This window comes from Homo sapiens, chromosome 8 (genome assembly GCF_000001405.40).
Source record: "Homo sapiens chromosome 8, GRCh38.p14 Primary Assembly".
Taxonomy (NCBI): Eukaryota; Metazoa; Chordata; class Mammalia; order Primates; family Hominidae; genus Homo; species Homo sapiens.
Window position 1 is genome coordinate 139970036 of NC_000008.11, and position 14041 is coordinate 139984076.

General features: G+C 52.9%; 1 protein-coding gene across 15 annotated transcripts in view, besides 1 other annotated feature; it reads right to left on the bottom strand.

Moving 5' to 3' along the window:
- Positions 1 to 14041, bottom strand: part of TRAPPC9 (trafficking protein particle complex subunit 9) — a 730855-nt gene that overhangs the window by 242311 nt on the left and 474503 nt on the right. The gene's annotated exons all lie outside the window — the stretch shown is intronic.
- Positions 3359 to 3859: an enhancer, noted in NCBI's record as "H3K4me1 hESC enhancer chr8:140983608-140984108 (GRCh37/hg19 assembly coordinates)". NCBI's record gives its function as "activates a minimal SCP1, AML or CMV promoter by ChIP-STARR-seq in primed H9 embryonic stem cells {active_cell/tissue: H9 hESC(primed)}" and the evidence as "EXISTENCE:reporter gene assay evidence [ECO:0000049][PMID:30033119]".

Sequence of the window (14041 nt, forward strand, 5' to 3'; positions counted from 1 at the left end):
AAGACAGCAATTTTTCTTGGCCATAAACAGCCTGGTCATAAACCACAGCCTGTTTTCTACGAGACCTCCTCCTCCTGCTCTTTCTGCCCTTCCTAGGCAGAAAAGCATCATGTAAGGCTGAAGGGAAGCACCTCGGAAACAGGCGCCAGCGATGCCCAAAGAGAAGGAGCCGGGCATCAGGAGTCCAGGTCCCAGCTCTGCCGCCTGACGCTGGCGCCCGCAGCATCTCTGGGCGTCACAGCCCTCTGCTGGGAACTGCAGAACTCGGTCCCCAGTGCTGTTCACAGCCTCAGTGGCATGTCACATGAGAGAAGATGTGAAAGTCTTAGAAATTAGGGAGCCCAGGACATGAGAGGCATTTGAGGACTCAAGAATGGGCAGGAAGGAGAGGATCAAGGGGAGGGAGGGTACAAGGGAAGGCAGGAGGGCAGATCTGGGCTGGGAGAAGCGGGAGCCAGTAGCCTGAGATCCCTCTGGCACCCCAGAGAGAGGCCCCTTCATACAGCCTGTCCCAGAGACCTCAGACACACGGAGGGGCGCGGCTTCCCTCCGCCTTTCCCAGGGTCTCACTCACAAGAGGGAAGAAAAAGGGTCACCTTTTCCAGGTGCCTTACAGGGTTATAATCAGCTCTACTTCTACCTCCTCATGGGACCCAGCAGAGGCCCAGCTTGCTGGACTGGACCTAAGTGTCAAGGGCCAAATTCAGGGAGCAGGGCTGTGGCAGGGGTAGAGTCACGTGCCAGGCCTGCAATGCGCAGCCCAGTGCCCTTTGTCCAGGATCACAGTACAACCTTTCTGGTGTGGCCAGAAGCCAGCTGAACCTGAAGGGATGGGGGCCACGTGGCTAGACAACCTCTGCCCCCTGTCGAACCCCCTCCACCCCAGCTGTGACTCCTGCCCTCCCCGAGTGAGTGAACGGCAACCCCACCTGCCCTGTGGCCCAAACCCTTCCCCTCCTTCTCCATACCCCACACCCCTAAACCCTGCCAAATTCTCCTCCTACCCACACATCCCGGAATCCACCTCTTTTCTCTGCACCAATGGCACCCCCAGGCCCAGCCACTGCAACCCACCCCGAGATCAGCACCCAGGCTCCCGCCAGTCGTCACTCACCCCTTCCAGGCACTTCCCAAAAGGCCAATCTGATGGCACACTCTCCTGCCTTCTCATGACCGTCCCTTCCCTCACAAGAGACCTGACTTCGACCTTGGCTCATGGGCCCTGCTGCCCCTCCAGCCTCACCCTGGACTATCGTCTCTGCCCTCACTCCCACCCTGAACAGCTTCAGCCTCGGGAACCCAGTGTGCTCCCCCGCCCCCAACCTCCTGGCCTGGCACAGGCAGTCCTCACTGGTGAGCAATCCCCACCCAGCTGCCCTCTGCCTGCCCAGCTCCTCCTGGCCGGTGAATCTCCCCTGAAGGCCTCTTCCACCAGAAAGCTGTCCCCAACACCTGCACCCAGGCTGGCTGGAGGATGAGCCCCTCCTCAGCAGTCTCTGGGCCTGCCCCTGCCTTCATACCTTGCAGAGGTGGGTGCTCTATCCCCTCGAGCCCAGTGCTCTCTGCACAAAGAACCATGCCTTGTTCTCAGCTGTTTCACCAGCACCAGGCGTGCCTGGCAAGATGACATGCACTTAACATGAGGAATCAATGGCAAGAATGAATGCTAAAGTTCATATATATATATACACACACACACACACATATATATATACACACACACACACACATATATATATACACACACATATATACACATATATATATACATATATATATATACACACACACACACAATTTTTTTTTTTGAGACAGAGTCTCGCTCGCTCTGTCACCCAGGCTGGAGTGCAGTGATGGCTCACTGCGACGTCCACCTCCTGGGTTCAAGCGATTCTCCTGCTTCAGCCTCTCAAGTTGCTGGGACTACAGGCACGCGCCACCATGCCCGCCTAAATTTTTTTGTATTCTTAGTAGAGATGGGGGTTTCACCATGTTGGCCAGGCTGATCTCGAACTCCTGACCTCAAGTCATCCACCTGCCTTGGCTTCCTAAAGTGCTGGGATTACAGGCGTGAGCCACCATGCCCGGCCCTAGTTACATATTTTTAATTTTCAGTATAAAGAACACACCCTGATACCACCCCACACCCATGCCCTCATGCCACCACCAAAGCTTCAGGGAGAATTGAGCAAAACGCATTTAAGGAAACAAATACCTTTGACTCTCTCAGCTTATAAAATGCCCATGGCCCAACTCTGAGGAGGGGTGAGTCCCAAACTTACCTGGGAGGTGCTTCTGTACAGAACAACAACATTTGATACTTGTTTTTACCAAAGTTTTCTCACAGTAATAGATTAAAATTAAGATGATGAAAAGAACCGTATTTTAGGAGGCTCTACCCAGGAGTACAGGAAAACACAGAATTCCTCTGCATCCTTGCAAATGTGCCTCTCCGGGGAGGCTACGCCACAGAACCCCATTCCATCTGACAGGCTACTTGGAAAAAGGGCACAGGGCCTCAGAAGCTCAAGGTTCAGACTCCCCAGACCACGTACAACTCACACAAGACACGACCTGGGCCCCAGACACCACAGCCCTGGCCACGACTTGGCCCAGAGCAACACAAATCACAGGTGCTGTGGCCAAAGTATGTTTTATCTGTACCTCAACTAAGCCTCAGCATCTGAGGCTGGATCCCTGGGGTCACAGAGAGAATGAAAACTTGGACCCCAAAGAACTTCCCTAAAACATGGAGGATGCAAAATAAACAAAAATTTCTTTTCCCATTACCAAAATGCTTATAGATGAGGCAGACGGGGAAGAAGGTCGGAGTTCCAGTTCCCCACAGCTGATACTCCGTCCCAGACCCGGCCTCAGGCTCCCCTTGTCCAGGGGCTCGGCTGAAGCCCAGCAGCTCCTCTCCTCCCACCACTGACTCAGAAGGGACGACCACGTTCTCATTCCTGCCCCCAGCTACCCCATGGACTAGGGGGAGGAGGAAGAAATGGCTTCAACAACTAGAGCGCAGGTGGAATTTAAAAGCCACCCTTTTTCTATGGCAAATGTTTCTACCATAAGAAAAAGTACGTCCCAGTTATTGTGGCCCTGCATAGACAAACGTTTAGCAAGTCCTTGTCATGTGAACAGAGAGGGACCCAGCACAGACTGGCCTCTGAGGCATCCGTCCAAGAGGAAAGGTCTAGGATAGGGGAGGCCTTGGAGGGGTCAGGCCCCGCACCGTATCACCCCAGCAGCAGGGTGGCCACGGGCCAGCGCCCCTGGACAGTCCAGGTTTAGGCCTGCCGTCCCTGCAAGATCTGTGATCACTGTCTGCCCTTCATTCTCAAAAATCTCCAGTCCTGGATGAAAACCACAGGGCCGTGGCACCCACCCTGCCTTAGCCTGCTCTCACACTGACCGTGAGGGTCACACAAGGCAGGGCTTACCAAGTCTACCTTCCTACCAAGACCTGACGTGGACAGGGGGCAAACTGAAAAAGTTGAAATGTTCCACTGCTAAGAGAAGAGGGAATAGTAACGGAAATAAAAATCACTGAGAAATTTCTATGAAATTGGAAAACGACGAATGAACAAAAGTAGTTTCCGGCCTCTGGAGTCACTGGCGCTGACCCCGGAAGGCACGGGTGAAACCACACTGAGCAGCACCAGGGAAAAGTCGAAGGCGGTACTGAGAAAGGTTTTCCTTCCCCACATGCAGGACCCTCTGGGAGGCTGGGGGAGGAGGCCGAGGTGAGTGCCAGGCCCCCAAACCACCCCAGGGACCTTCTCCACAGACCCACTCCTGGATGTTGAGACACGCACCAGGCCCGTCAAGCTACTGCCATCCCTCTCGAGTCCCTGCGAACCTCCCCACACACCCTGTGGGCCACCTGGGAGGGAGAAATGATCTATAAGGACGAATGGCAGGTGAGCAAGGGCAGAGTACCAAAGAAAGCAGCAGGAGCTTCGAGAGCGGCCTGACGGCTCCATGGTCCCCCCATCCCTGCCGCCCAAGCCTCCAGGCCACACTGGGTACTCGTCAGGGAGAGGCGGTGAGGAAAGGAGTTTGAGATTACTCAGGCTCAGGTTTCTCTCCTGTGCCTGCCACGGTTGAAAGATGGATGGGGAATCTGAGATAATAAGAGGCTGAATTCACAGCTCGCCCAGCAGGCTCATGTATCGGTACGCAAGAGAAAACTGTGCGCTTCTAGGAGAACAAGTTACAGACAACACAACAGAAAATGGAAAGCTAGTAGAATCTCAGAGCGTGGATGTACAGTCTCCCAGGAAGGGCAGGAATTCCTGGATGAGCCTCCGCCATGTGACGGGTTCTTCCTGAGCTAACCCAACATCTCCCCGTTCCAGCAGCTGCAGCATCAGCAGACAAGACCCCACCACTGATTACATTAAGTGCCCACCACAGAAACACCCACATGACCTCACTACAACCTCTTGGCAACCCAGAGGGGTAGTTATGATAGTCCTGATTGTGCAGCCCTTGTGGAAACTAAAGCTCACAGAGGTTAAGAAAATGAAGTTATTCAACTCAGGATGGCTTGAGGTCAATGTTTTCTCCATGACATTCAGCCAGCTGGGGCCCAGGGCCCTGGGCCCACTAAAGCATCCCTGTAGACAAGGGAGGTGAGGCACACCCCAGGCTGCCCACTGTGCCGGCTCCTGCTGTGTGTGCTGTTCATGCTCCTTCTCAGCTCCTACAGGGCTCCATTTTACAGACGTGGACGCGAGGCTCACAGAAGACCAGCTCATGTGGAGGCTGGGCCCAGGTTTCCGTGGTCTTCCACTCCGCCCGGCAGCCTCCGGCTGCCTCTCCCTCTCCGCCTTGTTCCCCAGGGGCTGTAGCTCTGCCGAGGGCACCTCCACAGGCCATCCCTGGGGCTGCCTGCTCTGCCTCCCATCAGCAGACCTAGATCAGCCGCACCCGATTCAAAGGGCTCCCCCAGCACTGCACCCCATCAGAGTCAAAGCCCATCCTTGTCTCCAGACTGCCTCTCCAGCTCACTCTCCAGGCTGGAAAGCACCACCAAGAAGGGACAGCGGTGATTATGAGTGAACCTAGGACCAAGGTCTGGCAACTTTCACTAGAGGCCAATGAAAACAAGGACTGCCCTAGACGAGACTTTCCACCAAACTGCATGTGAATGAGGCTCCATACACAGGTGTGGCTTCTGGGCAGCACTAGAGACAGTGGCGACTGCTGGTCAGCCTGGATCACTGGCCTCCGCATTTCGCTAGCACACAGGTTCTGTGACTTCCCTGAACGTCAGAGCACCTGGAGGGCCTCTTAAACTACAGATCGCTGGGCCCTGCCCCACAGTAAGCCTGGCGTGGGTCTAAGAATTTGCATTTCTAGCAAGTTCCCAGGTGATGGTGCTGCTGCTGGCCTGGGTCCGCACTTTGAGAACCACGACTCCCACAGGAGGCTTTCAAGCCAGCTGTGAAGTGGTCATTTATGCTACAGGTGAAAACAGAGAAACCCCAAAAGACAAAGATCAAGGCAAAGGCATCCTCTTCAAAAACCTACAAATTCCTCATTAAAAAATATAAAGATCAATTTCCCTCAACCTGCCAGCCAAGGTCCTCTAGGATTTGGCCCAGCCAAGTTGACCCCTCACCACCCCCACACTCCTACATTAGCACCGAGCATCAGCATCCAGGCCATGGGACGCCATTTCCCTCCCAACTTCACCCCACTCAAGCTGCCCTGGCTGTGCCAACGCCCCTCCTCTCTTCATGTCACCTGTCAGCCCATCCACTGACATCCCCATCAGCTGCTCTCTCTTCTAATAAGTGTCTTCAGAAAATAACCCTCATGTTTATGGTCAACTGATTTTAGACAAAGGCACTAAAGCCATCCAATGGAGAAAGGACAGTCTTTTTTTTTTTTTTTTTTTTTTTGAGATGGAGTCTCACTGCAGGCTTCACCCCCCCGGGGTTCACGCCATTCTCCTGCCTCAGCCTCCCCAGTAGCTGGGACTACAGGCGCCCGCCACCTCGCCCGGCTAATTTTTTGTACTTTTAGTACAGACGGGGTTCCACTGTGTTAGCCAGGATGGTCTCGATCTCCTGACCTCGTGATCCGCTCGCCTCAGCCTCCCAAAGTGCTGGGATTACAGGCGTGAGCCACCGCGCCTGGCCAGGGTTTTTTTTAACACCCCATGCTGGAATAACTGGATATCCATATGCAACATAAGAAAAGCTTTCACCTCACACCCGACACAAAAAATTAGCTCAAAAGGATTATGGACATAAATGTAAGATTTAAAACTATAAAACTTCTAAAAACAACATAGGAGAACATATTTGTGACCATGGATTATGCAGAGGCTTATGACACCAAAGGTACAGCCTATGTTTAAAAATTGATAAACTGTACTTCATCAGCACCTACAATTTCTCTCACCGCTAAGAAAAAGACAAATCGCAGACTGGGAGAAGTATCTCTAAACCAGGCATTTGACAAAGGGCTTATGACCACAATGCACAAGGAACTCTCTGACTCAATAATAAGGCGGCTACGAACCTGGTTTTAAAAAGGGTGCCAAAGGCTCAGGTGCCTCACCACAAGGGATCTGCGCACGGCTCGTGAGGAGCTGAGAAAACGCTCCCATCAGCCCTTGGAGAGGTAAATGAAAACCACAGGGAGAAGCCACAGGCCAAGACGTACATGAAGCAGCCTTGCAGAGTCTGGCAGGGAGGACTCAGCTGCCATCCCGGTGCCCTTCGCCTTCTGCGGGGATACTGGCACCAGAGTCACTTACTCACAGGCACCTGGAAGGCAGGATGCTGCCTGTTCACCTCTGCTCCTCTGAGAGGAGCAGTGTGGGGGAGCTGTAGGGGGAGACACAGGGTCCCCGAGACAAACTGGTGAGCTGCCAGAAGTGTCTGGAAGTTTCCAATCCTGCAGGGCCGCGGAATCAGGGTCAATGCTGCCCCAATTTCTCTCCCTGGGCAGCTACTGGGTCTGGATTATCTGATGAGTAAGACGATTCTGGCCTGAAAACATACAGCAAATGTCTTCGCATCTTCACCTGATCACTTCCAAACCTCAAGCAGTAAAGCACTTTCATATTTTGTTTCGAGCCATGCAGGAGAAGAGTAAGGGTTTTTCTGGGGACGAGAGGGCTTGAATGTGCCAGAACAGGTGTAACGGCCCGTGCGGGACAGGGCTGGGTAAGAGAACACCATCAAATGAAACGGCCCCATCACAGAACCGATAAACACTCAGTATCTGCCGATGGAGATTCACAACAGTATCCATGAAGTAGCTTCGAAAAAAAATGCTGAGGCCAGGCGTGGTGGCTCACACCTGTAATCCCAGCACTTTGGGAGGCCGAGGCGGGTGGATCACGAGGTCAGATCGAGACCACCCTGGCTAACATGGTGAAACCCCGTCTCTAGTAAAAATACAAAAAATTAGCCGGGCGTGGTGGCGGGCGCCTGTAGTCCCAGCTACTCTGGAGGCTGAGGCAGGAGAATGGTGTGAACCTGGGAGGCAGAGCTTGCAGAGAGCGGAGATCGCGCCACTGCACTCCAGCCTGGGCGACAGAGTGAGACTCTGTCTCAAAAAAAAAAAAAAAATGCTGAATACGATCAAGCCTCCCTCCTCCTCATTCATTCATTCATTCATTCATTCATTCATTTTTGAGATGGAGTCTCACTCTGTTGCCCAGGCTGGAGTGCAGTGGGGCGATCTCAGCTCACTGTAGCCTCCGTCTCCTGGGTTCAAGCAATTCCCCTGCCTTAGCCTCCCGAATAGCTGAGATTACAGGTGTGTGCCACCACGCCCGGCTAATTTTTGTATCTTTAGTAGAAACGGGGTTTCACCATGTTGGGCAGGCTGGTCTCAAACTCCTGACCTTAGGTGATCCACCCACCACGGCCTCCTAAAGTGCTGGGATTATGGGTGTGAGCCACCGCACCCAGCCTCCTACTCCTAATTTAATGAGGACTAAAAAAAGAGAAAGAAGACCGAAAAACAAGTTTTGTTTTGTTTTGTATTTTTAGTAGAGCTGGGGTTTCACCTTGTTGGCCAGGCTGGTCTCGAACTCCTGGCTTCAAGGGATCCTCCCACCTTGGCCTCCCAAAGTGCTGGGATGACAGGTGTGAGCCACGGCGCCCGGCTGAGGAACAAGTTTAAGAGGACCACAGGCACACAACCGGCAGAACCCCACCCTGGGACCTTTTTAACGAAATGCAAAATGTCCAAGAGGAAAAGAGGTGAACAGTCAACCTGCACATTAAACATGGATTGAGACATAGCCATTTCTTGAATTCTGATGCAAACCAATGTTAGGAAATAGGTCACTGAGACAACCGGAAATTTAAACACCGGCTGGGTACTTGTTGATAATGAGGAACTGTTCATTGTTAATTTTAAAGCATAATGAAGTATTGTGACATTTAAAAAGAGTTACAGCATTAAATATGAAAATGTTTACAGATGAAATAATATGATTGATTGGATCTGCTTCAAAATTAGAGGAAATGGGGAAATAGGTAGGGATAACAGATGAGAAAAATCCACCGAGCATTGCTGCTTGTTGAAGGTGGGCGACAAGCACGTGGGGTCATTATCCGAAGATGGTGCCTTCTGTGTATGTGTGTGAAATCTCCATAATAAAGCTGTGACGTGAAAGACCACACAGCGATGGCTGTGTCTGTGCCAGGCTACCCTCTGCAATGCCCTTTCACTCGGGCACCTTCACGGAAGTTGCCCAGGCCTGAGGCGGGTGTGGCTGGGATTCTCACTCCCCGCTGGACAGATGAGGGGCTGAAGGCAGGCCGAGGTCCCAGAGAACCAGTGGAGCTGGGATCGCAACGCGTCTCTGCTCCGTCCAGAGCACTCTGGTTTTTTTTCCACAGATAACCTGAGTTGCTTTCTTCATAGACGGGCAGAGACATCTGGGTGGGCTTCACAGGAGAGATGTGTGTGTGGGACTCGGTGGCCGGGCTCCCATCCCCAGGAGGGGAGTGAAGAGTTCTTGCCCGCAGACCAACTGGGGCGCCGTGGTTGACAGCAGGCCAGGTGCGGAGCCGTGAGGGTCAGGTCTGACAGGAATGCAAGCACCACAAGAGAATTAACCACTGGTGTCAGGACTTGGTGTCTCTTCCTGGTGACCTGAAGGTTGACCACCACCCTGTCCCTCTGAAAAATCTCCTGCTGGGCCAGGCTTGGCTTAAGAACCGTGTAGGTGGTGAGAGCCTGGGAGTGAAGGCTCCGGTGGGACCACCTGCCCCAGGAAGGAGGGGTCCTGGGCTCTGGCCAGACGCTGCCACGGAGCTTCCCACTCACCCGCCCACTCGCAAGCCAAACGTCTCTAGCCCAGCACAGGCCAGATGGAGGACCAAGGTGGTGGGAAGGGCGGACACGAACGGACACGGGTGCTGCTCGCAGACAGCTGCAGCCTGGCGTCATGGCTCCTGCACTCGGGTGCACGGTCGGCACCAGAGGAGATTAAATATGCCAATGCCCAGGCTGCGTCCAGCCAGTCCAGTCAGGATGCTGGCGGGTGAGAGGAGGGGACAGGCACCCCTCTTTAGTAAAGACCCCCGGGTGATGACAACACACAGCAAAGTCTACGAACCTCTAGTACAGCAAGAGGGAGAATCTGAGGTGGAAAACAACAAACCCCATCCAAGAGACCCACAGTGTCGAGGAGGACAGGACAGCGCCCCTCACAGCAAGGCTGGGGAACCAAGAGACCCACAGCGTCGAGGACAGGACAGTGCCCCTCACAGCACTGCCAGGGGGACCCAGGACAGAGCTGGCCTAAAGCGGGGCTTGAGGGAAAGAAGAGCCGTGGCCGATGGGCAAGTGACGCCCTGACTCCTCTCTGCCAGCTGGGGTGTGGGGCTGAGACTCCACAGACCACATTCCCGCTCTGCCCATGGGTGCTGGCGGGAGGCCTTCGGACCACAGAGGGAAGAAGCGATCTGCTCTCCCTGGGCCTCCCCTTGCCCCTCGAGAGTTTTCTGTCTACGATTCCTGCAGGTACCCCCCAGTGACATCGCACCTCACTTCCAAGACCCCAGGTGTCCCCTTCTCAAATGGCTGTGGCAGCTCCATGCCCCCCCAGACTTCTCTAACAAGATGCCAACCCCGAGGGACCACACCCCTCCCTGCAGCCGCCCCATAACTGGCACACCTCAGTGTTGTCCTCTGCCTAAACGGGCCCAGCTACCAATGTTACACCTCGGACACAGTTCTCCATAGCGAATCTTCTCTGTTCACTAAGCGGGTGGCTCCTCACTCCTGACCAATGCCAGGAGAACTTTCTCTGCCTCCACTCTCAATGCCACTGAGAATCCAGGCAAATGGGGCCCCAAATAACAACCAACTACTTGAGCAGAAATTGGGTCCGGTCACCTCCACAAGAAGGAAACAAAAGTCCCGGAATGCCTGCCCTGCACACGAGCCATGACGTGCTCCAGCCGTGCGATCTGGAGGGGGACAGCTTTGAAATTATCACTGTAACAAAGGGGCACCAGGAGGTAACAGCACCATCACCAACGGCTGGCCACTGGCCATGCATCGGGCATGGCCTCTAACGCTGCTCTTTAGATCAACCTGCCGGGCATGGATTCGATTCCTACTTTATGAAGAGCACTCGGCGCACGGTGAGGCCCTGCCCAGGCACGCGAAGCCAGCTCGGGGCGGAGTTGAGGCTGCAGAGGGCTCCGCGTGGCTCCAGCCCGTGCGTGTTCATCTCAGCCCAGCAAGTGGACAGCTGGGGACAGGTCTGCAGACAGGGTGGGCGTGGGAGGAGCCACACGCCCCCCACCTTCCACGCGCTAGGAAAGGCTCCAGACATTTCCCCACCGCAGAAGCCACCCACGGACAACAGAGGCAAAGACCCAGAAGGAAAACCTCCTGTCGAAGGTTTCTGAGGAACAAAGAGGCGCGTGGTGTGTGGAAAGCCAATCAAGTCATCCTATTTTTCTTTTCTCACAGAAAGAGAAGAATTTCTCTTGTCACCTGAGTCAGCAAACCACTGCATCTTCCCCAGCATTGAATTTCTCGAATCCAATTGCTTCTCCAGGCTGAACGCAAACGTTCCTTCCCTCTGCCTATTAATCACTGGGAGGTCCCTATTGATCCCAGAGCCATCTGGGTTTGTATCAGGAAAACTGTAAAAACTGCTCATTAGTGGGGCCAGTGGGGGTTGCAGAGACAGCTCTGGCCAGGGAGTCCAGAGCCCAGGCTCTATCAGGCCTCTGCCACGGGCTCACTAACTGACCTCGGGTCTCCATCTCCCCGCATCAGCTGAAGGGATGAGGGCACATCAGGATGCTTTCCCCTTGTTTCTAGAAATTATGTTTCTGAGGGACTCTCCTCATTTCCTTTCAGATTGAAAAACGAGGTACAAAGAAAATCCACGCAAAAACTCATCTGTAACTCATACTGCAGAAGGAACACAGAGGGATGAGCAATGCCAACACAGTATAAATAAGCCTCAATAACAACCTGCAAGAAGACTGGGCGCCACACGGTTAAGCATCACTTTGATGATTCACAAGGTTCTTTGGAATGTTTGAAGGAATTAAACCAGAAACAAAAAGAGACAGGCGAGAGGAGTAGCCAGATAGTTGAGTTGGGGGCTGCTCTGACCTGGGATAAACAGGAAAGTGCAGCACCCACATAACCCCCAGGAGATGGGGTTGCCCAGAAACCACTTTCTCAAAGCATCCTCGAGGAGAAGTTGTGGAGCCCCCAGGTTGGCCATTGCCTGTGGGGCTCTTCCCTGCCCCTCTCGCAGCAGAGCCATGCCATGATCCACGTGGATGCTCTATCAAGACACAGCCAGAGCTGGCCGCTCAGATCCTGCCGGCGGTCCATCTCCCCAGCAGCCGCAGCGTTTGGGTGCTTCGGTGCCAGGTCCGCTGCACCCTCTAAATGCGGTGTCCCTGCAGCAAGCGAGGGGGACAGAGCCGGGCATCTTAAAGCATGTAATGAGATAACATCTATTATCATACATTATAAAGAGGTTTATGCATACATGAGGGTTGTCATGAAATTTAATTTCAATGGTTTGATAATTAGGCAAAAAAACCCACAATTGTCGTATCTTAATTTTCCAGTAAATTTGCTGCTGCTGCTGCCAACACTGTATTTTCCTAAGAAAGTTCATGCGGTTTCACTAAGGAGAGACATCCACTGTTTCCGGTTGTGCATGGAAAATGGACGAGGAGGGAAGGCCGATTCTGGGAACGCAGCCTAGGGAACCATGGGCAACTCCCACAGAAAGGCGGGCGGTGGAGAACAGGTGGCTGGTGCTCAGCAGCCCAGTTCCAGCTCCAACTGACTGCATGCCCCTGGTGGGTCTCGACCTCTTTTACTCATAGGGAAAAATGAGTGCAAAGCCCACTCCCTGTAGAACTCCCTATGAAAGTGGTGTCTTTCCCAACACTGCCCCGGGGTAGAAATACAAGTTAATACAGATCTCCAGCTGCTCGACTGGAAACAGGGTTCCGAATGTCATGACCAATGGCCTGGGGCCCAGGAAACAGACTCACCAGGCACCAAGCATCACAAATCACATCTGGCAAAAGCAAAGTTAACTAATGGTCCTTAATTACAGAACTGATGTATCACACATGCCACAGAAACTCACAAGCTGAGGAATGAGTCACTAATTTCCAAAGGACCTTTTAAAGGAGAGATTAGGAAGGTGAAAAAGTACTTTCTACATCCAATCGCTTCAGTATTCCATTGTAAAGTATGAGACTAACAAGATCTCGCTAAGAAATATGATAAGAGTGGCATTGCTAATTTCTAAAAACTCTAATATTCACAGTCTATGAACACCTCTTTCACACTTACCACCCCACCACACTCCCCTCCACCATGCTGCTCCCCCTGCCTGCACGGCTCTCCCTGGCACACTGGCCCTGGCCACCTCCTGCTCACTCGTCACGTCGTGCTGTAAATGAATGTTTATGCCCCACAAAATCTACATGCTGAAATCCTACCCTCCATGGTGATTATATTAAAGGGCAGGGCTTCAGGGAGGTGATCAGCTCATGAAGATGGAATCCACATGACTAGGATCAGTGTTCTTTTAAATGAAGCTTGAGAAAAACCCTTTGCCCCTCCCACCATGTGAGGACACAGTGAGAAGCCTCCAACTACGAAGCAGGAAATGGGCCCTCACCACCCACAGAATCTGCCCAGCGTCTTGATCTTGAACCTGCAGCCTCCAGAATCTGCCCAGCGTCTTGATCTTGAACCTGCAGTCTCCAGAACCATGAGAAATAATTTTCGGTTGTTTATAAGCCACCCAGTCTATGGTATTTTGTTGCAGCAACTCAGCATTTCCATATTCTCATCACCTCTCCAGGAAGCCCTCCTAGCCACCTTCCTTGGCCCCCCAGTCCTAGGCCCCCCTCCTATGTGCTCTGCATTCTCCTCACACTGTATAACAATTGCCTGTTTGTGTGCTTTTCTTCCACACCTAAATATAAGTGTAGTGAAAACACAGGCAACACCACACGTACTCAGCAGCTTCACTCCCAGCAGGGCCTGGCACCTCGGAGATACACAGGAAATACTTGGTGAATTAACAAATGAACACCCTGGATATCAAAGGCCCAGTTTGCTTCTCCATCTCACCCTTTCTTCTGCTGGGTGAAGCTGGACTTTACGATCTTGAACCCAACTTACCAAAGGCTGCACAGAGCAGAAAGTGGGAAATAAACAGAATTTTGCCCCCGCCCCGGCCTCTCTCACACCATCCCAAGCTTGGCTCCAGCATCGTCTCCCCTTGGTGTGTGGAGCAGCAGGGCAGAGCCTGGATGTCAGACAGACGGGGTTCCACAAAGTGGCTTTGATCAGCCACTCATTTTGCTTATCTATAAAATGAGGACACTGTTCCCACATGAGAATATTATGAGGACTGAATGTGACTTCATATGGGAAGTGCTCAGTAAATACTATTTCCATCCTCTCTTCCCCCAGGAAGCATGTTGCTCCTCCTCGTGCTGTTGGGGACACATTTCTATCCATAGCTCTTGCACTGGGTGAG